The sequence below is a fragment of the Homo sapiens genome, chromosome 22 (genome assembly GCF_000001405.40).
Source record: "Homo sapiens chromosome 22, GRCh38.p14 Primary Assembly".
Lineage (NCBI taxonomy): Eukaryota > Metazoa > Chordata > Mammalia > Primates > Hominidae > Homo > Homo sapiens.
In genome coordinates, this window is record NC_000022.11 from 35,062,047 (window position 1) to 35,087,536 (window position 25,490).

The 25,490-nt window shown below is 47.1% G+C and overlaps 1 protein-coding gene and 1 long non-coding RNA gene across 3 annotated transcripts, besides 1 other annotated feature; one reads left to right on the top strand and one right to left on the bottom strand.

Annotated features, from left to right (window-relative positions):
• Nucleotides 1-4,111: 4,111 nt before the first annotated feature.
• Nucleotides 4,112-25,341, top strand: ISX (intestine specific homeobox). Of its 2 annotated transcripts, NM_001303508.2 has the most exons (5): nucleotides 4,112-4,416; nucleotides 4,706-5,270; nucleotides 20,472-20,623; nucleotides 22,337-22,453; nucleotides 23,408-25,341. In NM_001303508.2, exons 2-5 carry the CDS (start codon nucleotides 5,042-5,044, stop codon nucleotides 23,645-23,647), a joined length of 738 nt encoding a protein of 245 aa, NP_001290437.1. In that variant the 5' UTR covers nucleotides 4,112-4,416; nucleotides 4,706-5,041; the 3' UTR covers nucleotides 23,648-25,341. The 2 variants fall into 2 exon arrangements, with proteins under 2 accessions (NP_001290437.1, NP_001425661.1); NM_001438732.1 differs by having other exon boundaries at nucleotides 4,112-5,270.
• Nucleotides 10,736-13,925, bottom strand: LOC124905110 (uncharacterized). Its single transcript, XR_007068084.1, has 2 exons — nucleotides 13,751-13,925; nucleotides 10,736-12,592 (listed from the first exon to the last, which is right to left on the bottom strand). It is a non-coding gene; the product is annotated as an uncharacterized LOC124905110 (long non-coding RNA).
• Nucleotides 14,015-15,214: an enhancer, noted in NCBI's record as "CDK7 strongly-dependent group 2 enhancer chr22:35472054-35473253 (GRCh37/hg19 assembly coordinates)". NCBI's record gives its function as "activates an origin of replication core promoter dependent on BRD2, BRD4, P300/CBP, MED14 and CDK7 cofactors, with strong dependence on CDK7, by STARR-seq in HCT116 cells {active_cell/tissue: HCT116}" and the evidence as "EXISTENCE:reporter gene assay evidence [ECO:0000049][PMID:35650434]".
• Nucleotides 25,342-25,490: the final 149 nt, after the last annotated feature.

Sequence of the window (25,490 nt, forward strand, 5' to 3'; positions counted from 1 at the left end):
AACTTAAGCTATTTCTTGTGAATGCCTATATTAATGAAAAACAGAACCGAAGTCCAACCAAAAAGAAGCCACCAACAAACTTACATAACTAGGGACTTTTCAATGGAATAGATGAAATAAGGCAACTTTATAACTGTAACCAATCAAATATTTTCCTTGTATCACTTCTTCATCTCTCTATAAAAGCCTGTGTCTTCAACAGACCTCCTGAACCACTTCCGCTTTGGAGCTGCCTGATTCATGAATTGCTATTTGTTCAAATAAACACTTTAAAATTGTATTGCGCCGCAGTTTATTTTTCAACATCACAAATGGAAATTACATTGGGCATTTATGTGCTATCAATTTATTATCTGTTTATTATCTATTTTCAATGTAAGTTCCATGAGAATATAGACCTTGCCTCTTTTAACCACAACTGTCTCCTTAGCATAAAGATCATGGTCTAGCACATCACAGTGGATGCTTCAAAATTATGTTATGGATGCATAAATGATTGGAGGCCGCAATCCACCTTTCCCACATGCTCTTCCTAAATACTTCTTCATAAAATGAAACCCCTCTCTCATCCATGAAACCGGTAACAGTGCATCATTGTATTAGTCGGTTCTCACATTGCTATAAGGAACTACCTGAGACTGGGTAATTTGTGAAGAAAAGAAGTTTAATTGACTCACAGTTCCACATACTGTACAGGAAGCATGGTTGGGGAGGCCTCAGGAAACTTACAATCATGGCAGAAGGCAAAGTGGAAGCAGGCACATCTTCACATTGCAGAGCAGGAGAGAGAGAGAGAAGGGGGAGGTGCTACACACAGACAGATCTCATAGAACTCTCTCACAATACAGCACTAGGGGGACGGTGTTAAACCATTAGAAAATACCCCCATGATCTAATCACCTCCCACCAGGCCCCACCTCCAATCCTCCAACATTGGGAATTACAGTTCAATATGAGATTTGGGGGTGGAAGTGGCAGAGGCAAAAAGAGAGAGGCGATGGAGCCCTTTCTCTCTGCTGGGCCTCGTGCCTGCAGCTGTGTGCTCACCGTTTCACTTAATCCATTCAACAGCCTGATCAATTAGGTGTCATTAATGCCATTTAACAGCTGAGGAGACATGCCCAGAGAAGTGGAGTGATAGGACAGCTAGCCACTAGAAGCAGCAAGATTCAAACCCAGGTGAGTCTGGCTCTGCACCTCACATCCCTCCCACTTTGCTGTAATACCCAGAGACCATCTGGCTCAGCCCTCTCATTTCACAGGTGAAGAACTGAGCAGCAGCGAGAGAAATTGCCAGAGTTACACCTGTTGTTTTCAGCACCTTGTTTGATTTCCTTTCATTTTGCCTCTTTCCAAGGTGTGACTGGCCCCTGGACAGGTTAACAGATCCAAACCATATCAACCATGCATGCCTCAATGTGTCCCTGCTCCAAGTCTTTGTTCCTACAGTTATCACCACATGACCTACTCATTCTTTGGTGCCCAGTTCAAATTCTGCTTCTGAGAGTCAGTAGGGGACACTAGAAAGATCAAGGTAATTGACTCAGCATGGAACACTAGCTGTGCCACTACATAGCTGTGGGACCCTGGGCACATTACTTAAAGCCTCTGAAGCTTAGTTGCTTCACTGTAAAACAGGGCTAAGATATCTACCTTAGCAGAGTTTATTTGCTTGTGAGTTTTACAGTAGATTCAATAAGACAATTCAGAAAAGGGACTTATATATGATGGCCCCTCTCCTTCCTTTGTTGTTCCTCCTCTTCAAAACTTTCATTAATCCAACAGCCACTCAATCTCTGACTTCTCTGACCACCCACAAGATTCCATCACGGACCATTGATACTTCCTGCCTTGTGTCACTGTACGTCTGCAGCCATGTCCCCCTTCCTCCCACCCCACCCCACCCCCACCCCAGAATGTAAGTCCCTCAGGGCAGGGGCCATATCTCTTTCATCTACATCTCCAGAGTGTTTGGCACATAGTAGATGCTCAAGAAATATTCATGGAATGAGCATACATGTGAGTGATAAAAGAATTGAAGTCAGTAACGTCAGGATTATGGCTAATCATGGGAGAGAGGGGAGTAAGCGTCCGGGTCCACACCACAGAAGGGTGTTCTGTTAACCTGTCCAGGGGCCAGTCACACCTTGGAAAGAGGCAAAATGAAAGGAAATCAAACAAGGTGCTGAAAACAACAGGTGTAACTCTGGCAATTTCTCTCGCTGCTGCTCAGTTCTTCACCTGTGAAATGAGAGGGCTGAGCCAGATGGTCTCTGGGTATTACAGCAAAGTGGGAGGGATGTGAGGTGCAGAGCCAGACTCACCTGAGTTTGAATCTTGCTGCTTCTAGTGGCTAGCTGTCCTATCACTCCACTTCTCTGGGCATGTCTCCTCAGCTGTTAAATGGCATTAATGACACCTAATTGATCAGGCTGTTGAATGGATTAAGTGAAACGGTGAGCACACAGCTGCAGGCACGAGGTCCAGCAGAGAGAAAGGGCTCCATCGCCTCTCTCTTTTTGCCTCTGCCACTTCCACCCCCAAAGATCCTGTCCTTGCTCTTGACCAAGCATCTCAAGTACCCATCAGAGCTTCCTCTGCCCTGAGTGTAAGGAACCTTGTCCTCTCATCCAACAACCCCTTCCATGGACCAATGGTGGGCCTGACTTCTAGGGGACTCTGGCCTCTTCACTGCAAAAGTCAACAAACTGGTTCATTTGTCTCCTGGCAGGAAAACTCCCCTGTCCAGCCCTAGGAAAGGGATAGGTCTAAGCAGGGTCATGTGACTCCCTCTGGCCACAGAATGTGAGCAGAAGGTCTATCAACCACTTCCACTTCTGACTCATCAAAATTTCTCCTTTCAACAGAAAACCAAATACTGAATGTTCTCACTCATAGGTGGGAGTTGAACAATGAGAACACATGGACACAGGGAGGGGGAAAATACACACTGGGGCCAGTCAAGGGGTTGGGGGCAAGGGGAGGGAGAGCATTAGGACAAATACCTAATGCACGCAGGACTTAAACCTAGATGATGGGGTGATAGGTACAGCAAAGCACCAAGGCACATGTATACCTATGTAACAAACCTGCACATTCTGCACATGTATCCCAGAACTTAAAATTAAAAAAAAAAAATTCTCCTTTGCTGTCTCCCTTTCCCCAGAAAACTTGGAGCCTATGATTGGAGAATGGTGGCATCACTGTTTGAAAGGAATCTGGGTCCCTAAATGACTACATTAGAATGTGATGTGGGTGAGCTATTATGCTCCCAAGACTATAGGGTTTACTTGCTACTACAGCAGAGCCTATTCCCCCCCTAACTAAATCAGACAGCCTGACACTTCCAAGGGGCACAGCTCCTAAAATGGGGCATCTTTACCTGTTCCCTCTCTCAGGGTGAGTCCCTCTCTCTCCTGACTCACTCTTCTCAGGGAGTGGAGACCAACGTTCCCTATCCTTCACCTCCCACCCCTGCCCTCTATGAGAAGATCTAGATTCTAACATCCAAATTTACATTCACAGTCTCTGCCAGGGTATCCATCCCTCCTGTGCAAATTGGCTCCTTGTGGCCAGCATGGCATCATGGACATCCCCAGGGGAGTACTGTGATCAGGCCCTGCCATCACATTTTCTGTACCTCCTTGGTCTGGACCTCAGTTTCCCCATATCAGAAAGCCCTGGAATGCTTTTCCTGATCTGATATTTGCAAGCCATGGAAAGCACATCTGAGAGCAAATGAATGCCTAAGGCTGACAGCCAGCAGACTGCACCTCAGCCCAGCCTCCCCCACACATGACCACAGGCTCTCCTGGCTGAGTAAACATGTTTTATTGGGCCTGGGTACACTTCCTGGCCATTCTGCTCCCACCTTCCCTTCCCCTGCTCTGGCCAGTTCCCCAGCACAGCCCCTCCCTGGGGCCTCCAATACCTGTCCTTCAGATCCCCACTGCCTCCTGCCACTTTTCTACCCTGACACCTGCATCCCCAGCCTTAAGGGGCGTGGAGAGTTTTTCTCTTATCAGCCTGTTTTACTGCCCCCTCCTCCTTGGTTACACAGTAATTTGGAGCAAAATTCCAGGCAAGGACAGATCAACAACTGTCAGCTCCCAGTCAGAGAGAAAGGGCCTCTTCAGTCTGTCTCAGGAGACTGGGAGAAACAGCATAAAGGACCCCACAAGGAAGGGAGAGGTACCCTGGGTCAGGCGCTTGTGGAGAGAGGGCTTCGCATGTAAAGTGACGTCAGGGAAAATAGAACAGAAAAAAAGCCAGGGCCAGCCCAGAGGCACCTGAGAAGAATCAGACCCACAGCTCAGCCCAGCCCTGGCACAGAGAAGAGACAGGCCTGGCAGCACCCAGGGACCCCCTTTCCTCAGCCTCCACCTGCAGGACAGCAGGAGCACTGATGCGCTGAAGGTACGTTCTGGAGTCTGGAAGCAGCAGAACTGAAGGAAGTAAACACGGGTGTCTGGGAAGACCCCTCAAGCTGCAGTAAAGCCCAGGACTGAATTGGCCACCTGAGGCCAAGGGTGGCACTCCAACCTCCTCCTAAAGGCTGGCTAGAGCCACAGGAAAGGGCCAGAAGCCAGAGAAAGGGCAAAGGTGGACCCCTGCCTCCAAACCTCCTCTGGAGACTGACCTCCTCTTTCCTGTGCCTTATTGTTTCTCCCTCTTCTCTTTGTTCGCCACTGGGCGGTGACCTCAGGGATCCTGGCCTAACCTGGTGATTGTGCAGGCAACTGTGTCCGAGAAGACCCTTCTCTGGAAGATTGAACCCCAATTCAGCCATGGTGACTCCTTTGATGTCAAACTGGTAAGGGCTGAGCCGTGGGCACAGGATACCACTCCTTCCAGCTCTTCTGCTGTGACCTGCCCATGGAAGTCCCTGTGGACACGAAATCCTGTTTGGATCATCTAACTGGAGGCTCTCTGTTCTTCACCTCCACGCGCCCTCTTGACCCCAGGAGGTTCAGGGGAGGAAGTACGCCACTCTCCACTGGCACCCTCCTTGGCCTACACAGAGTCACCCCTGAGCCCCTCAATGTGTGCTGAGGTGGGCCCTGCTCTCTGCAGGGGTATGGAGAGAAATAGCTTGGGGTGCTGTGAGGCCCCGAAGAAGCTGAGCCTGTCCTTCTCCATTGAGGCGATCCTAAAGAGGCCTGCCAGGAGGAGTGATATGGACAGACCAGAAGGGCCAGGTGAAGAGGGCCCCGGAGAAGCTGCGGCCTCAGGCTCTGGGCTAGAAAAGCCTCCAAAGGACCAGCCCCAGGGTAAGTGTCTTCTGATCATTTCTTTCTGTTTCCTGGTCTCCAAGACCCAGCTGGGCTCAGGCAGAGAAAAAGCTTCTCCGTCCATATTAACTGGATAGAGGACTCTAAAATTCAGAGCAAGACCTGGCTCTGGGCTGGTTTCCTGATATACCTTTCAATCTAACCCAAAACTGTGCTTTTCAGCTTCAGACACCAAGGCTCAGTTAGTTGCAGAATGCAGGGACCTGGGGCTTGTTATTGTAACCAGGCCCCGGCTAAGAATGCTAGTTACCATTTATTCAGCATTGACAATGTCATAGGCATTCTCTTTTAATTTCAGTAGAAAAGCATGATTATCATAACTGGACAGATAAGAAAACTCATCTGTGAAAGAGAAGAGGAGGATAATGTCCCCAAGTTACACAGCTGGTAAACAGAAGCCCCGCTATCAGGACCTGGCTCTGACTCCCCCAAATCCCTGCTGGGCCCAGCACAGTCTCCTCCTCATAAGCCAAGTTCAGTCTGCACAACTTCCAGGGGCTGAAGCTTTGCCCAGGGGCCGAAGCTTTGGCTTGGGAAAAGTCTGTCCACCCTGATCACCTTCCCCAAGCCAGTGGCCACCCCAAGGCATGTCCCCAGATAACAGTGACCAGGTAGATCGAGAGCTGGCTTGAGGAAGGGAGGAAAGCCGCACTGGGGCATTGGTGTGGACGCACACACCTGCTAACAGTCAGGAACCCAGGATGTGAGTCTTAGCTCTACCTTGGCCTGCTATGTGACCTCAGAAAAGTCCCTGTCCACTGCAGCCTCAGGTTTATTCTCAGCAAAACACCTGGGTGAAGGAATAAGAAATGGTGAAGCTGGCGATGTCTCAAGGGCCTTGTCAGTCTGACTGTCACTGAGCCTGGAATATCTCACATGAGGTTCTCAGTTCTCTCCCCTTTTCACCCCTTTTAATCCCAGAAAATGCTGGAAAGGAAGCTCAGGGAGCCCTTAATGTCATTACCTGCCATAAATAGAGCTCCACATCCCCACCAACGAGGCAAGTCTCCCATGGAGGGAGCTGATGAGGGGTCGCACTCAGCTGCAGGCATGAGGAAGACCAGGAGGGCTGTGTGTCTGCAGGCAGGAAGGAGCCTGGTGTGTTTCCCTATAGCTGAGTTTTCCAAAGGGAAAGGGTCTCTAGCTTAATTTTTGGAAGTTCATTAATATCTTCCAGTCCATTAAAGATTCATAGGAACATTTCCATTGGGGTCCTGAGTCTCTCCTCCTGCAGTTGTACAAATCTATGATCACCCTGTGTCATGAGAGAGAGGTCTCGCTTTTCCTACCAGAGAAGCTTCCCTTCCCCTAGCCCGATGACGGCAGGCTTCAGAAAGGAAACCACTCTTTCTAGGCCTCCACGGAAGATTCTGGCATGTTCCGTGTCAGCTATCCATCTGGTCCCAGAACAGACCCCAGTAAGTGCTGACCAGACTAGCGGTGGTGACATCGGATGGTGGTATATTCCTTCCACAGCACTTTTGTGGCCATTTTCCCATCTCACTGTCACACTTGGGAGCCCAACTTACAGATGATGAAACCAAGAAGAGAAGATAAATCCCCCACAAAAACTATGTGAGTAATGAGCACTAGAATTGAACCCTGGTGGCCTTAGACCATCTACTCTAGATTATTCCTGAACTTAGTTTAAATCCATCCGTCTCCCACTATGCTGGAATTCGGCATTTCTGAAAGCTTGGAGAGGGTCCCACTGGCGGCTCTCAAGATGACCTTGGTGGGTATGTAGATAAAGATGATCTAGCTCAATAGTCCTGTAATTACTTTTATACTAACCTTGTATTTATGATGAAAGACACTGTTATCTGTGTATGATCATGATATAAGGTATTATTTTAAAATACATTTATTATTTGAGTCAAACACAAAAGTCTATTTGGGAAAATGCTAAACAAATAATACAGATGGGATATGAACTTGCCAGAAACTATATAAAAGAAACCTGCAGAAATTGCAAATGAGCTGGAGTCTCTGAAACACACTGGGTGAGAAGGGCAGGGTTTCAGGAAACCTACCCTCTAAGCCCAGATCTGGCCCCAGTGCACGGGAGGACCTCAAGCCAGTCACTTCCCTCTCTGGCCTCAATCTCCCCACCTGTAACATGAAAGAGCAGGGCTAGAATATTCATAAGGTCTCTCCCAGCTCTGACATGCCATGACCAACTTAACAACAAATTAGTTGCTGAAAAACCTTGCAGGATTCCCTTGTGGTGATTTTCCACTGTAGAATCTTTCTCCCTGGGGAAAGGATGGTCATGATCCCAGGCAGGGCAGGAGCAGAGAGACTGGAAGGCCTCTCCCTACCCTCACAGGAGCCCTCATGCCCAGGCCTGTGCTTACTGCTGCTGGCTGATGCTTCTCTACTTCCCTGTTTTACGTCCCTCCTTTTGTGCAGGACCCCTCAGCAGAGAGCAACAGGAGCAGAAACAGCAACACCCTCTCCTGCCCCAAGAATAATGATAGAGGAATAAGTTCCTCTTTGTCTCCACTTAACATTTAAAAGGCTTCCTAGACTGGCTCACAGACAACCCTTGCCATCTCACCTAGGGATCTTATTAAAATGCAGCCTGTCAGGCCCAGCAACCAAGACTCTGACTCTAAGTGAAAAGGCCCAGGAATCTGCATTCTAACAAGCTCTCCCAAATGATTCTGATGTTGGTGGCCCAAGGAAGTGGTCCTTAGAGGAAGCTGAGACTCAATAAGGTGAAGTGGTTTCTTCCAAGCTACAGAGCCAGTACATGCAAGAGATGGGGCCAGGCTAGTTATCTGGGCTCCAAGGCTAGTGTAGTGCTCTACTGTCCTCATTTCTCATGGTAGGGACCAAGGTCCCCCCTGACATCTTCCCATTCCTGCAGGGACCTTCATGATCTATAGGTTGGACCCTCCCAGGTCTTAAAAGTCAATGGGAAAATCCAAGAGGACTTCTTTATCTGAAAAGATTCTACACCCAGCCTCCTGCTCTCTCCTCCAAGGAGAGGGAAGCCCTCCAAAACTCAGGACCCTCCAAAGTTAAGGGAGACCCAGTCAGGAGGAAGCCTCTTTATACTGAAAGCTCAGATCCTGGGAAGAGAGAGAGGGAGACCATCTTTGCATCTCTACCACTGATAATCCTTTGTGGGGAAATCATAGGCCCCAGGCGAAAGGTGATAGAAAATTGACAAGGAAGACAGACCACCCCAGTGGGTAAACCAGTATGGACTGCCTGGCCTGTGGGGAACCCAGGTATCTTCCCTTGCCTGCTCACCATCTATTCATTCAGTCAGTGACTAATCACTGAGTGCTTACTCTGGGCCAGGCTGGGGGCTGGGGAGGTGAAGGTGAATAAAACAAGATGCAGTGACTACTCACCTGGAGGGGGATGGAAGTCCCTGGCAGTGCCACCTTGGGGCAGTGCTGCCTTCTGCCCATCTTGTCTGATGGAGCTGGCCAGGGGCATGGTAGAATTCTTGGCATTTGAGAAGCATCCTGTAGCAAGGGACAGCAATGTTTTTCTGCAAAGGAACAGATGGTAATTTTAAGCTTTGATGGTCAGATGGTCTCTGTCACAATTACGCAACTCTTCTATCACAGCTGAAACTCATCTGTAGACAATGTGTAAATAAATGGGTAGGCTTATGTTCCAATAAAACTTTATATACAAAAACAGGGGTCAGGCCAGATTTGGCCCTCATGCTGCAGTTCATCAAGGACATGACCCTGACACATTAGTGTGGCACTCAAAGTCCTTCCCAGACTGGCCCTGTTCATCCCAGGCTCACCTCCCATCACACCCTCCCCGGCCCTGTCTACCTTCGAGGTGCAGGCAGCTCCTCTCCAAATTCCAAACCTTTCTTGCCCTTTAAATGCTTTGGTGTCTTTGCCATTTAGAAACCACTGCTCCTCCTGCCACCTCTTCCTCTTCTTTCCCCTCTTCCTCCCTGTATTAATTTTCTATGGCTGTTGTAACAAATTACCACAACCTGAGTGGCTTAAAACACAGAAATGTATTCTCCTACCATTCAGAAAGCCAGAAGTCTGAAATCCAGGTATTGGCAGAGATAGCTCCTTCTGGAGGCTCCAAGGGAAAATCTGATCCATGCCTCTCTCGTAGTTTCTGGTGGTTCCAGCAACCCTTATTCTTCTTTGACTTGTAGACGCATCACTCCACTTTGCCTCCATCTTCTCACAGCCTTGCCGTGTGTGTTTGTGTGTAATGTCCCTTTCTCTTATAAGGACACCTGTCATTGGATTTAGGGCCCACCCTAAATCAGCAATGATCTTATGCCCAGAGCCTTAATTATATCTACAAAGACTATTTGGAGCAAAATTCCTGGCAAAGACAGATCAACAACTGTCAGCTCCCAGTCGGAGAGAAAGGGCCTCTTCAGTGCTATCTCAGGAGACTGGGAGAAGCAGCAGAAAGGACCCCACAAGAAAGGGAGAGGTACCCTGGGTCAGGCGCCTCTGGAGAGAGGGTCCTTTTCCTTCCCTGTTCCTCACTTCTTTCTCCTCTCCTCCTCCCTCACTTCTCCCTCCTTTCCGTAGCCCTCCTCCTCCCCTGAACTACCTGAAATCAAAGACAGCTGCTCTGCTATGGGAACTGGGAGAGGCAGCCCTGGTTTGAGGCTGTGACTAAGGCCTGTGTGTATCTCATCACCTGGTGATTAACAGCTCTGGCTCTTACCCAGGTAGACCCAGGAGCTCCCATCAGAGCAGACGAGAACAGGGCAAAAGGATGTGGAGTTAAAAACAGGCACTTCCTCAAGAGAAGTGTGCTTTGGTCTTCCTCCAATGGACTCCATCTCTTAGTTCCTGGCACCAGAGCTATGGGGACCTTCCTACAGGGATACCTGGAGACTGGTTCTAGAATTGAGAACCTGGCTCAGTCTCAGGCCCTGTGGGAGCACAAGAAAGTACAAGGCATGGCCCCTACCTGCAAAAAAGAGCACGGTATTAGTGTGGGGTCCCCCAAAAAAGCAGACCCTAAAGAAAGGATCTGAGCACAAGTAGTTGATATGGGACATGCAAGGAAGTAGTGGAATAATACAAGGAAGGGGAGGCAATGAATAAAGCATGTGTTATTAAACCAGTGGCCCCTATGAGTAACTGAAGCTCAAATCCTTTGGGAAATGGAGCAAACATACTCCCTAGAATTATCCAAAGATTTGATCCCTAAAGACAAACCCTGGCAGTAAGAAGTAGATATGGAGCATGGAAAGGTCTGGGTGATACAAGCCAGCCACTGACAACATCAACTACAATCATAGGGCCCAGAATGTCAGAGCTAGGAGAAATCCAAATGGGCAGAGGAGGAGGCTTAAAACATTGGCTATAATTTAAGTTTGATTTATCCACTGTATTATTTATCCAGACAGGCAACAAATAGCCACTGAATATCTACTGCGTGCCAGGCATACCTATTGCACAACAAATCATCCCAAAACTTAGTGGCTTAAAATAATAAATATTTATTATCTCACTCAGTTTTGTGGATCAGGAATTTGGGAGTAACTTAACTGGGTGGTTCTGGCTCAGGGTCCCTCATAAGATTGCAGTAATGATGTTATTTGGGGTTGCAGTCGTCTGGAGGCTGGACTGGAATAAAAGATTTATGTCCACGGTGGTTCACTTGCATGGCTAGTGAGCTGGTAACAGCCACTGGTGGGAGGACCCAGTTCTTCCCTATATAGGGCCCTCCACATGCTGCTTGAGTGTCCTCACAAAATGACAGATAGCCTTTCTCAAAGTAAACAGTCCTCGAGGGACAGCCAAGTGGAAGCAGCTTCCTTTTAGGACTTAGCCTGAGAAATTACATCACATCACTTTCACTGCATTTCATTCATTAGAAATGAGTCACCAAGCTGGGCCCACTTAAGGAGAATTTGAGAGGAGGAGTGTCCATGAAGTTGCAAACCCATCTGACAGCCACTACGGTACTGAGTTGGGTGCTGGAGATGGTGTAGAGCAGTGGTCCCCAAACCTTTTTGGCCGGTTTTATGGAAGATGATTTTTCCATGGACGGTGGGTGGGGAAATGGTTTCAGGATGATTCCAGCACATAACATTTATTGTGTACTTTATTCCTATTATTATTCATACTCACCATAATGTAGAATCAATGGGATCCCTGAGTTGGTTTTTCCTAGGAGAATCTAATGCTGCCACTGATCTGACAGCAGGTGAGACAAATAACCATCACATAATCACAAATGAAAGTACAATTACAATTGTGGCAAGTGCTGGGGAGATGGTGACTTGGTACTCCAAGGGACTATTCCATGGGAGTTTGGTCTGCCACGGAGGTCAGAAAATGCTTCCCAGAGAAGCTGTGGTCGGTCTGTAATCTGAAGACTGAGTAGGGTCGAAGGGAGGGCATTCCACATGGAGGGAGCCCCATGGACAAGGGCCTGTTAATAGGTGATGTCCAAGGATACAACTTGAGGTCTAGGAGCCAGAAAGGAGCCAGCCCACGCTGGCCTTGTAGGCTATGGTAGAGATTTTTATTTTTGCTTTGTATTCCTAGGGGAATGAAGAACCATTTTCAAATTTTCGACAGGAAAGTGTACAGTGATCAGTATTAATGAGAGCTATTTGGTTCCAATTGACAAAAATTATCTTAGGCCAGCTAAAATGGAGAGGGACATGTATTGCCTTGGAGAAAATTAAGAAATCACTTCCCAGACTAAGCCAGGTGAAGGGCAGAATGATAAGCAACCTTCAGCCGTGATGGGATCCAGAACCAATAATGTCATCAAGTCTCTGCAGCTGTTTCTCTCTGCATGTGAGCTCACCTCTTCCTTGCTGCTAATTGGCATTCTCCTAATAGTTTCCAATAGCTCCAAGAGTTACATCAGCCTCCAGTGACATCCTCAAGCTCTCTAAAATCCCATGTTCAAAAGCCCCAGAGGAGGGACACCCATTGGCCGAGCTTGAGTGAGATGTCCACCTCCAAACCAGTCAACTGAGACCAGCGGGTGTGGCTGGAGCAGCTGTGTGTGCTTGGGCCTTGTCTGGAGTCTTCATCTTGCTGTTCCCCTTCTACTTCACTGTTCCATGCTGGGATGATGGTTCCTTATTTCAGGACCCTTAGAACTCTTTGTACATCATTTTAGTCTCCATATATGGAAACCTCAAGTTTCTTTATCAGTAGTGTGTTGCTAAAGAGGTTTCCTCCCCACTCCTTGTAAGGAGGCAGTTGTTAATAATTTGTTGGCCAGAAATGTCTATTCCTCCTGTTTGCAAAGCCCTGTGGCTTTGTAGATCTCTAATCTGGGCATTCTGCACTTTTGCCACCTTGGTCGGCCTTCTGTAGGTATTTAAGTAAAGAGAACAATTAAATTCCTCCTTAGTTCTTGGCAAGAAGGATAACTAAACATGGATTTCCCCATTGAACAGGAACAAGTTCTAGGACACTTCCTGTGTCACATCTTGAAACATCCCCTGACTGCACAGCTTGTGTTGTCTGATTATTCCCCTGCATCAACACAGTATAGATTGGAGAGGAAGTGGAGAGGGTCTGAAGCATAAACACACACGTGCACACACACATGCATGCACGCAACACACGCACACATGCACACAACTTCCCAGCAAGGAAGGGAGTTAGAAATGTTGAAATATTATAGCACATGAAATCAACCCACTGCTACCCTGTCCCAATAATCTGTGCCCATGCTTCATGTTTAATCTCACCAGACCTAAACGCATTGTCATTAGTCACATTGTCATAATACAAATACGATATACAAACCTAACAAAGTGCTTTAGAACACAGAAGAGGCAATAATGAACTCTGCATAACACCATCAGAGACAGCCCTTCAGAGAAGTAGTGGCTTTTGAGATGGAGTCAGGCAGAGAAGGGGACAGGACATGCCAGGAAAAGGAAAGCCTGTGAAGCACCCAAGAGGTATAAAAAGGAATAATCCTTTGAGAAACAACAAAATTGAGTGGCTGGAGTCTAAAATTCATGGAGCATAGTCACAAGAGATGAAAGAGGTAAGGTAGACGGAAGGTCAGGTGTGTCAAGCCAAGAACTTTGGCCTTTATATATGCACATCAGCATTTTTTAAGCCTTAGATTTTAAAATGTTTTGGGAACTTCAGGCTTTCATTGAGATGCATGACCAGAGCTGCCTTGGATGAAGGGAAGATGGAGTGGGCCCCACACACACTTCAATAAAGGAGCTCTACTGCTGTTTGTTTTGTAGGGTTTCCTTATGATTTCCTTTAAACAAAGGGTACAGTTGCTTTAAAATAAAAAAAGGAAGAAACAAAAATTTTTTTAAATACGTAAGTAAAAAGTATGGGTGAGTGTGGGTATGTGTGGGTGTGTGGTGGGGGGAGTACACATGCTAAAATTCATACATACAAAATATTATGAAAGTGAGACCACAGGTATGGAAGATGCAAGCTTCACACTGCCTAGAGAGTGCTAAGCCAGTCACCCCGGGGAGTGGCACTCACTTTCTGGTGAGTTTCTCAAGGGTCTCCTCCTAATTGTTCCAGTGATTTCTTTATTCTCATCTCTTTCCACTTTGCTGTTTTATTTCATTATTTATTTACACAAGAAGTTCCTGTGTATTACAGAAAAATAGAAAATACAGATAAAAAGGTAAAAGAAATGTGACTATAATTCTACCATCTCACCATCCAGTAATAATCACTACAGATATTTTGATTGATTGACTCATAGAGACTCATAGAAAATTTTTTTTTACAAATATGGAAGCCAGTTTGTTGTAAGCTGAAATTTCGCACTCTTAAATTAAAAAAAAAAAAATACCTATTGTGTTTCAACCAGGAGATTCACAACAGACCTCATAAAGAAATATTTGATTGATTTGAGCTTTGACGGATGAGTAGGAGTTCACCAGGCAAAGGAGGAGGACAAGGAATTCCAGACTCAGGAAGCGCAGAACAAGGACCTGGAAAATAAAAGTGCATAGCCGATTTGGGGAATCTGGAAATGGTCAGGTGGGACTAAAATTATGGAAATGACAACTGAGGGAAAGCAGATGATGCTAGAAAGATGGAATGGGAAAGGCCTTGAACGCCATGCTAAGGAGCTTGCCTTGTTCCCTGTGGGCACAGGGAGCCAAAGAAAGTCTGTGGCCTGACTAGCGAAATGAGGCCAGCGCAGGTGGGCCATGGGGAGACTCCTGCCCCGCACCCCACCTTCGTGTGTCAGGAGGTGTCCCCAGCCTACAGGAGGGCTGCAAAGGGGGCCCTGGGTGTCCTCCATGGTGAACCCACTGTTTTCAGAAGACGAGGATGAGGCCCATTTCCAGAGACTGCCCAGCGGCAAAGTCCCCCGGGCCTTTAGCTGCTCAACCAGGACCAATTAGCAGACCCCAGAGAAGAAGCAATCAGGGGAGGGTGCTGAGCGAGGAGAAACATCAGTTTATAATTAGGTGGCCTAATCACCTGTGTAAATTGTGTATTTCTTATGATCGATGTGCTAAATGGCTCAGGTTTAATTAAGTTCTGCTGATTCATTCTCTTTGAAGACCTATTAAAGTGTGAGTCACAGCTTGCACCATTAACAACGGGGAGAGGAGCAACTTGAAAAGGGTGGCAGTTCCCTGCTGCCTCCATCCCCCTCCACTGTTGTCCCCACATGCCCACTCCCTAGGTAGGCTGGGCTTTGACCACCTGCTTCTCGGCTTCTCTGCCCAGAACCTGGTAGGGAGATGCTGGGCTGGATGGGAACCCAAGGGTTTTCTCACTCCTGATCCAGTTCTCCTTCCAGGATGATCCATGCTGCCTCAGAAGTGTCCCCTCTTAGCAGGGACCCAGAACACCCTGGTTTCTCCTGGTGATTGAGAATCCTATCCTATGCATGGGCCAGGGCCATCAATGAGCTTGTATTTTCCAGCCTCTTGTCTAATAACGAGTTTCCAAAATTCTACATGCTGAACTGCATTCTACCTTCTTCTCTGTTCCATATTATGCTTTTCTGCCTTCTCCCACCTTGTTCCCTTATTTGTAACTCTCTGTGGTCTGTAACCCAAGCATCAGCTTTCCTGGCAACCCCTCACAGCCTCCTCTTTTCCTGTAGGAAAGTTGAAGTGCTGACCTTCATCATTCCTGAGCTGCCCCCTTGGACACTGCTCTAACCTCATTTCCATGACTCCAGGCTGAATTCTATCTGTCTCTCCCAACACTGCTCTTGGCCTTCTGATTGGGTCTTTCCAGTCATAATTCCTCACCAGTATGAATTTTAGGCACCCCTCCTTATTCCAAGAGAGGCCACTAAAACTGTGAGACACAAGCACAACATCATCATCATCATCATCATCATCATCATCACCTCTCAAGGACAAACATTTATCCTGAGAATGTGTAGTTCAAAGCTAATGAGAAAACATATTTTTCTCACCAGGCTATGACTTGGCAGGCAGCCCCTCCCCCATGAAGTCAGCAGTCAGGTTGTTTTGCAGAGCAGAGTTTAGATCCTTTCCTTCTTCACCCCACCTCTAAATTACCTTCTTCCAGTACTCTTGGGAACAGGAAAAAGCCATCATGTCTTAAAAGCTGCTCCTTTGGTTACACAAGTGGAAGCTTTGAAATATTTATTTTATTATAGATTCTATTCTTAGTCATAAATCCTTGTTCACCTGAGTTTCCTTCTGGGGTAAATGGAGGAGACGGCTTATTTTCGTTATGACCCGTCTTCTGTTTCTACTCCTCTGTTCTCCATATTATTTCATTTCCTGTATTCTGGTTCCACACCCCACATTCTCTCCCACAGTTCTATAGTCCCATGAAGACCTCAACTCCCTGCTGTCCTTGACACCTCAGTTTTCCAGGTCAACCTGGAATCTTCCCTTTTGTAATTTTTTTTTTTTTTGCAGCTTCCTACAGAACTGCACTATATCATTTACTATCATCTAATATGCTGACTGACTGAATGAATGAAGGAGTAAATCCAATACTATCAAGCATGGCTTGTTCATTTTGTACTCCTGCAGACTGGCCCTCAGTGCCTATTAGGTGCTGGTTACAGAGATGACATTCACTGAGCTCTTGGAATGAATTAACACCTGCCATTTCTCTCTACATCAATTCTGACTGACTTCAGCTATATCCCTTAAACACAACACCAGCTCTAAACATAGAATAAATATCTTTTTTTAAAAACCCATGAAGTTAAAAAGGCAGTGTGGACTTAGGGAGGGAAGGGGGTAGAGAAGGAGAGGCAGAGATGAGGCTCTCCTACAGAGGTGGGTCACAGGCCAATAACTCACTCTAGTGGGGAGTAATGTTCAAAGCCTCACTGCCTGCGACTCCCAAGAAGCTTCCAAAAATCCACAATAGTGAGCGAAAGTACTTTGAAAGGATAAAAATGGATTAACAACAAAAATGAGGGCTAGTAGAAGGGAGTGAAAGCAAAAGCAAACTTGAAATCCCATTTCTACAACTGAGGCAACCGGGCCTGGTGGCTTCCCAGAGAGAAATCTCACTAGCCCTGTCCCTTTCACCAAGTAAACGCGTTCTGCAGGCAAGCCTGCGGTGAGTGCTTTTGAGCCATTCATCCTCCATCCCAGAGACGGAGGATTACAAATGTCAGGGTGGATTTTGCCTTAGTGACCTGATCATTCAATGCCTCTCTCTCCCTCCATTCTACTGATGGGGAGACTGAGGCCCAGATAATGAATCCAGAATGTGGCACAAGTTGCATAGTGGAACCAGGAACACAGCTTGGATTTTCTGATGTCCAGCTCACTGGATTTTCTACTATCCAATGACAGCAGGATCGATCATAAGCACCAAGAAAGAAAACAAGTTAGTTGATTTCTTCAAGTGTTAAACCCTCAGAAGTGAAATCTATTTTTCACTGAGTGTCTACTCCAATTCTTAGTATGTGATGGCTTTACCTCTCTTATTTGGGGTAAAAAGAAAGTGGGCTGAGTGGGAGTCAGAAGACCTCAGCTGGAGCTCAGACTCCCACCCCTCCTTTGTAGCAGCTTCAGCTCACGTCAGTCATCCTTTCTGATGTGTGACATCTGACATTGTACAAAGTTTTAGACGAATCCTGTGGAAGTCTTTTCTGTCCAACAGGATTGAGAGCAGAGCCTGAATTCTACTTTTATCCATTTAAGACATATATTTGTTAAGCTCTCTCGGGGAGCCAGTTCCTCAGCTGGTCTCAGATACAGTCAGTTACAGTCCCTACTCAGATACAGTCCCCACCCTCCAGGGGCTCACAGCCTAGAGATGGATGACAGCAGACATACGAGGCTCCCTTCCCTGGGAGGCTTAGAGTTCTCTGAGCATGAGTGTAAGTGACCCTGGGACAAGAAGTACCTCGGTTCTTAATTATTTCCCAAGAGCGGTTTTTCTTACAAGGAATGTGGAAAAAATCAGGAGAGGCAAGGTGTTAGCTAGAATGGTAGGAATTCCACTGGGCCCCAAAAGTGAAGGTGATCTGGGGAGAGGGTTTGTGCCTTTTCTACAATCCCTAAAATCACAACACAGGGACAATCTGCAGTCCAATTAAGACAAGGATTTTAATTCTGTCCTCAGAAGTCCATGGTCAGGTAAACAAACCCACTGCCACCGGGTTTGGTCCTTCCTCCAATGTCCTCTGTTACCTGGCTCCAACCAGGAGCTACAGGCAATGCTGGTTGAGTCTCCCATTCTGCCAATGGGGCAATCTTCCTTACTCTCCATTGTGTGGCCAGGTTCAAGGACCACTTTTCTGTCCTTATCATAATTGGTCTCTCTGCAGCATGGACCCAGCTGACTGTGCCTTCTTTCAGTCCTCACTTTCCTCCTCCTTCAGAGGCCTCCCCTTCTCGGTCTCTTTGTTGCCTTCCCTACTGCTGAACCTCTACATGGTGAAGGCACCGCAAACTTGCTCCTGGGTCCTGTCCTCTTCCCCACCTACACTTTCTGCCTATGTGATACCCATTCCCATGACTACAAAGGCTAAATAGATGCTGATAGGTCCTTAATTTGAACCTCAGTCCTCAGTTCCCCTTTGAGCTCCAAACTTATCAATGCATCTTCCTATTCCATAGCTTCCTTTAGCTAGCCAATAGGCATCACACATTTAACATGTCCAAGATGAACACCTGATTTCCCCATAATACAAACACATGAACACACACACACACACACATCTTTTGCTCAAGCCAAAACCAAATTGTTGTCCCTGGTTTATCTCAGCCAAAAGATAATCCATCAATCTCACCTGACAGCCTCTCTCCAAAATATATCCCATAATTAGCTCTACACCTCCCTGCAAACAACTTCAGCAGCATGACAAGAGAGATGGTAGTTGATGGAGCTCATCCTACTAATCACATCCACCACCACTGTACCACTAGAGGGGTTTGATTCTCTTTCCTAGTTGTATAAAGAAAAATGTCCAGGATGAATTCCAATAGTTCCAGTTCAGTTTCCCCACACTTGAACCAGTTCCCACTACAACTACCTGGTTGGTGTATGTGAAGAACAGTTTTCAAAAGGAGGGCAGGGCAGTTCCCAGGAAAGAGGCACTTCTGGACAGATAAATCCCAGCAGGTGTCCACCTCCCTCTGTTAGCACAGTGACCACCATGTATTCTAGGTCATGTGCAAGCCTATCTGTACCCCTTATCTCACCATATGATGAGTGCTTCCAATCAAGGACCGAGCCTTCAGCTTTTCTGCAACGCACTGCCTAGTGTTGTGCCTGGCAGAAAGGGGTTTGTGCTTAACAAAAAGGTAGATGAATGAATGATAAAGCTAGCAAGTGGAATGAAGATATTGCCAGTAAGAAAGATTACCCAGGGCTAGAAAGATTAGGAAATAATTTTTGGAGATTATAAGAATGAATGCAGATGCTGAAGAATCAGCAGATGTTAGAATTGCAGACAAGAGAGAAGAGGTGATCCCAGACCGAGGTGATTGTCTTAGAAAAAACAAAGTGATAAGCACACACGTGATGTGTTATGGATATGGTAAGCAGCCCAACTTGAATGAGCAAGGTGTGTGGGTCAACAAAGTATTGGAGGCAGGGCTGGCTTCATGGGTGTGTGTATGGCCAATGCAGATGCTCAGGACCCTGTGCTTAGAAGGAGGCCCTGAGAGTGGGATTGAATGCATATTGTCACCATCTTGAAATCTTAGTAATTGCATGTTTGAATCTCTGATTAGTGGAATCCAGTGGAACAGTGATGCATGCACCAGAGGCTATCAATGCCTTCTCATAACCTCCCAGCTTCTCTAGGATGGTCTTGGTCAACTGTTTCCCTGCTGCTACCCAGCAACTACTGCTCCCTCCATCTTGGTGGGGAAGGGAACTGGGCAGGGGTTCATGGAGGGTTGAGGTCAAGCACTGAGTTGCAGAGTGGAACCAAGTTTCTTCATGGGGTATCCATGACTCTAAGTCTCAGGGTGGGTCCCCAGGTCCCTGCGAGACCTAATCTCACCCTGTGAGTATGCTTATGCTCTTTGAGGGATGCATGACATGAAATAGCAAATAAAAACCCACTATGACAATTTAAGAGACTATGGAAAAAATAAAAAGCTATCTTTCTGCTTTTTGAGCAATAGGCCCCACATTTTCATCTTGCACTGGGCCCCACAAATGATGTAGCCAGCCCTGGGTAGAATGGAGGCTGGACAGGTGAGTTGGAGACAGGCTGTCAACAGCTTTGACTGCTATCGAGCTCAGCCTTTACTTTGCAGACCAAGACTGACACACTTTTTCTATGAAGAACCAGCTGGTAATTACTTTAGTCTTTGCAGGCCACACAGTCTCTGTTGCAATGATTCAACTCTGCTGTTAAAGTGCAAAAACTGTCAGAGACAATACGTAAACCAAAGGGAGAAGCTGTGTTCTAATAAAACTTTATTTAAAGACAGACAGTGGGCCAGATTTGGCCTGGTAGCCATAGTTTGCCATCTCCTGCTGTAGACAAAAGGAAGTCATTGAAGGCAATGTAGCAGCAGAAAGGCACAATCAGAGAAGATTTTCTAGATGGTTAACTTGGCCTCAATGTCCATGGTGGGTGAGGGTCGGTCTAGAGGCAGAGGATTTTAGGAAAGAGAATACTGTGAAGCTCCAAGCTCAAGAAGCCAGGGGCCAAGGCTCGGGAGCAGCAGTGGGGTGGAAGGGTAGGACAAGGCAACACAAAAACCCCACCTAGGTGCTGACACCAAGGCCACTGACACAACTTGGACCCTCTCCCATGCAGAAGGAAGGAAGAGCAAGCGGAGGGTTCGTACCACCTTCACCACTGAGCAGCTGCATGAGCTGGAGAAGATCTTCCACTTTACCCACTACCCAGACGTTCACATCCGCAGCCAGCTGGCAGCCAGGATCAACCTCCCAGAAGCTCGGGTGCAGGTACAGCCATCCCTACCTCAGCCCCCAGCCTCCATGCCCTTGGGACCATGTGTGAGACACAATATATCCAGGGACTTTTCGGGTTGCCCCATCTAAAAGTTTCTGTTGGCTTTATCCTGTGAGTACAGTCATTTTGGCCAAATATTATTTTCCATGAAATGAGGTCACTATAGCTCCAAAATGGTTTCTCTCCTCCGGGAATGGAAAGGGAGTAAAGTGGCATCAGTGATCACCATGGATCTGCTCCATACCCTTCCTCCCCGCTTGGCGACAGTTCCCAAACGTCGTTCACAATGCAGCCTCATTCACAAAGTATTGGCCATCTAGATCAGGGGTCAACAACCTTTCTGCAAAGAGCCAGATGGTAATGATATTAGGCTTTGCAGGGTATATCGTCAGTGTCAGAGCAACTGTTCAACCAGGCCAAGGTAGCACAAAAGCAGCCTCAGAAAATATGTAAACACACTTTATTTATGAACATGAAATTTGAATGTTGTGTAATTTGCCTGTGTCATAAAATACTACCCTTCTTTTTTTTTCTAGCCATTTAAAAATGTGAAAACGATTCTTAGTTCATGAACCATTCAAAAACAGGTGAAAGGCCAGATTTAGCCTGTAGGCCGCAGTTTGTCAACCCCTGATCTACAACACATGGGTATCCCTTTGGAGGCAGTGTAGAGAAGTGGAAAAGGTCTTGAATTCGTGGTCTTGGTCGGAGACCTGGTTTAAGCACCAACAGGCTAATCTCTCATCTGTGATCTCTTCACCGCAGTTTATTGCTTCATGCAGGATTAGAAATACAGTAGCCCATTGTCACTCACTAGAGGTATTTCCTGCCCTCTTCACATGCACCCAGCTTTGCAAGTGCCACCCTAGCACACGACGTTCCACCAGATCTCACTGTGGCACCGTTAGCATTCTCTCTAAAATAGTTCTCTAAGTTGCTCTCCTTTTTTTCTTTCCACAAATGTGATGGACTCATTCTAATTCAAAATCAGGCCAACATTCTGTTCTTTATTCTATCCTTTCCTTCTGGCTGGGGACCACTCATGTCTAAGACTTCTCTCCTTTTTCTTCCCATCTAGAATCAGGCACTAGCTAAATGGGAAGCCCCTGTATCAGCCACAAAGCCCAGAATTCAACACCTGCCTATGCAGAATTACCAAGGATAAATGGCCACAAGTCAGGGACCATCAGCACCTGCTCAGGAATGCAGGGAGCTGCCAATATTCAGCCGGCCAAGAGGCCCCAGGGGTTGAAAAGGGGTGGCCCACTGATGACCCACACATGACTTCCATTTGGTCTGCACAGTAGTTTAAAACTCAGAAGCTTTCACATATAAATCAATATTCCACTTTGGAGATTGCATGAACCTGCAACACCGGACTCACATTTCCACGTGGTGACTGTTGACGGGAGCTGAGAAGCTGCCCCATTTTGGCTCTATTCACCACAGACCCCGCCAATCCCAATTGGGCAGCACCAGCTGCTTCACTCATGCATGGCCCCCTGGCCCTGTAGGCATTGAAGGTGGAAACCCCGGTTCCCTCTCAGAAAGCTGACCTCCAGATCCAAAGACATCCTGGATGCCACAGAGCTTTACAAACTATAAAGTACAGTCCCTTGGAAGGTGTAGTTATTATGAATTTGGGGGAAGTGGTATTAGATGGAGGAAAACTCTTGCTTATCCCCGTCCTTTCTCCCTGATTACAGATCTGGTTCCAGAATCAGCGAGCCAAGTGGCGGAAGCAGGAGAAGATTGGCAACCTGGGGGCTCCACAGCAGCTGAGTGAAGCCAGTGTGGCCCTGCCCACAAATCTGGATGTGGCTGTAAGTGGCTGAGGCCTCAAGGTAGGGTGGAGGGAGCCATTGTCTGGAAATATCCCAGTCAGACCCAGATGTGAAGAAGCACCTCGGGGGCTCTGTCTACAGGAAAAAGTGCAAGGAAAATTATATTAGAAACAGCATGGGGCAAGGAGAAATCTGGAAGACTGTGGGGCCTGGGACAAGTGGCTGCCTGTCTGTCCTCATGTCTCCTCCCTTAGTGAACATCATGGTGCCTGTCCTTCCTGTGCAAAACTTCTCAGTTTACAAAACAGGATCACAGAGGGAAGTGCAGTACACAGATGTTGGACACACGGGCTCTGGAGTCAGACTGCCTGAGTTCGAATCCCAGCTCTGAATTGCCTGAGGAGTGGCTTGGAAGAGTCACCTTATCCCTCAGAGAATGTAATAAAGTTTTTTGATGAGGATGAAATAACTGAGATGTAGAGGATGCTTAGCACCTAGGAAGTGCTCCCTAAGTATTTAGGGAGCCATTCATGGAGACAGCACGTATTTTTGAGTGGGCACCAGGTGCTAAACACGGGATAGAGCAGTAAACAAAATAGACAATACTTCCCTGCCCTAGAGTTAAAGGTTTTTACATACCCACAGTGATGCCATGAGATGAGATTTCTCATTTATTCATTCTTGGCAAATGTAGAAGCTGGGCTCTGAGAGGCAAAGTGACTTTTCCATGTCAAAACAATTGTAAGTACCAGGACTCAAGCCAGGTTTTAAATCCCCAGACCATGCACTTCTCCCCACCTACAGTAACCAACCATCCAGGTTTGCATGGGTCCACACAGGACTTTCAGAGCTAAACCCAGAAGGTCCTGAGCAAACCAGAACAAGTGGATCACACTACCCACTCTTAGCTGCCCAAGCCATGGAGGGAAACGCTGAGAAGCTGCAGAGACAGCTTAGGACTCACTTCTCTCTCCTGACCTCTCCTTGTGACAGGGGCCCACGTGGACATCCACTGCTCTGCGCAGGCTGGCTCCTCCCACGAGCTGTTGTCCATCGGCTCAAGATCAGCTGGCCTCTGCCTGGTTCCCTGCCTGGATCACCCTCCTCCCAGCGCACCCATGGGAAACACAGCCTGTCCCAGGTCTTCCCATCCATCAAACTTGCATCCCTGTGCTATGCATCCTTCCACCTCCACACCCCAAATGGGGCAGCATCTGTGCTACTTCAACATAGAGATTGGACATGCTCTCCCCAAATGAGCCACTTTCCTCTCCAGGTGAAGGCAGGTAGCAGATGTGCCCTGGGCCTCTGGGGAAATCGATTTCACAATCCAAAAATGGCCCACAGCCCAGGAAGCTACCCTGAACATGCCAGTTGGAAGGCTGCACCAGACTCAAAAGCAAACTAAACAATAAAGGACAGCTCTCTTCTCTCCTGGCTAAAGCTGCTCTCCTGGTTCAGAAGACAGGCTGGATGAGATCTCAGGCCGAGCTCTGAAATAGGGAGGTAATCCTCCAGCACCTGTGTTTCCTCTAACTTGCTGTGTGACCTCCAGCCGGTCACTCACCCTCTCTGGACCTCATCTGTAAGAGGAGCCAGCTGGATAAGATGATTTCTGAAGACGCTTCCATGGTGGGCACTGAGGCACAGAGGAGGCCAAGGAGAGGTTGTTTGTTCATGCATGCATTCATCCGTGACACATGAGTACCTACTGAGGACTCCATAAACAGAACGGGATACAGAGATAAACAATTTGGGTTCTGTCCACGTTTGTCAAAAGGTGGTGCTGGCCCACCTCTGAAAGCAGAACACTTGCTCAACAACCTTGCTGTTGGCCCAAGTCTAACACATTCTTTATGACTGTGAGCATCTCAGAGTGAGAGAAAAATGTAGAAAGTTTTTTAAATTCTAAACAGGATTTAGTGTCTTTAGTTATCTTGCTGGATGGGAAAGGGATGTTGTCATTTCTGGCACAAATGAAAAGTAGGACGGAAAGCTCCTTTCATTCAGTTTATCTTTCCAGGATATATGAAAAGGGACCAGCTGGAAGACTAGCCTCACTCTGTCCTCGAAAGCCTGAGCTTTCATTCAACTCCCTATTTCCATGCAAAGACGCTGGGCAAACCACATGTTCTGTCTGAGCCTCAGTTTTCCTATCCATAAAATGAAGGTAGCCAGGCCTGCCTCAAAGAGCATTCAGGAGGCTCTGAGAGGACATGAGAGTATTTTGCAAAGTGAGGGCAAGGCCCAGTGTGGAGTGATATTGTTATTCCAAGATTCCACTGCAAAAGTGGCTGCTTTGGATGCCAGCCCAGGATGAGTAGTTCCTGTTCTCAGGGAGGTCATCCGCTGAGCATCCCTTCTGCACAGATGTCTCTGATTCTTGTCCTTGCAGGTGGAGGACAGGGCCTGCTCCCCTAAGCTGGGAAGCCTGGAATGACCTCTTGCACAAGCCTAAATTCCAGGAATCTTCCCCAAATCCCAGATCCTCTGCAATCTACCTGCACCCCTGACCCACCCAGGAGTTGGACCGGGAGTTGGGAAGCCTAGGTCTTAGTCCTACACTCCTTCTAATTTGCTGTGTAACCTTACCATTAATCTCTCTGGGTCTCAGTTTTCTCATCTGTATTGGAGGTAGCAGTGCTAGCTCTGCCTTCAGGCATGCAATATGCCAGAACTACAGACAACAGCCCACAGGATGCAAAAGTGCTTTGCCATCTTAAAAATGCCAGATCACTCAGAGCCTATGAATGTGGATATCAACACCAGGTCTCTAGCACCGCTGGATGAAAGGAGAAGGCTAGAGGCTGAGGGAGGAAAGAGCAGTTAACAAACAAAGGCAGTAGCTCATCACTTGGGTAGCAGGTACCCATTTTAGGACCCTACACTCAAATGTGCAAAATAAAATTTCTATCATTTTGCTATAACTGGATTTACTTTCTATGTTGTTTGCAGGAAATGTATTCTGGTAACTTCTAGGTTACTGATGCCTCAGGCACTTCAGGTTTAAAGGCAGTCACTTGAGATCGTTGCCCTCTGTTCCCCTTCTTCCCACAGGGGTCTTTGCTAGGCTGAG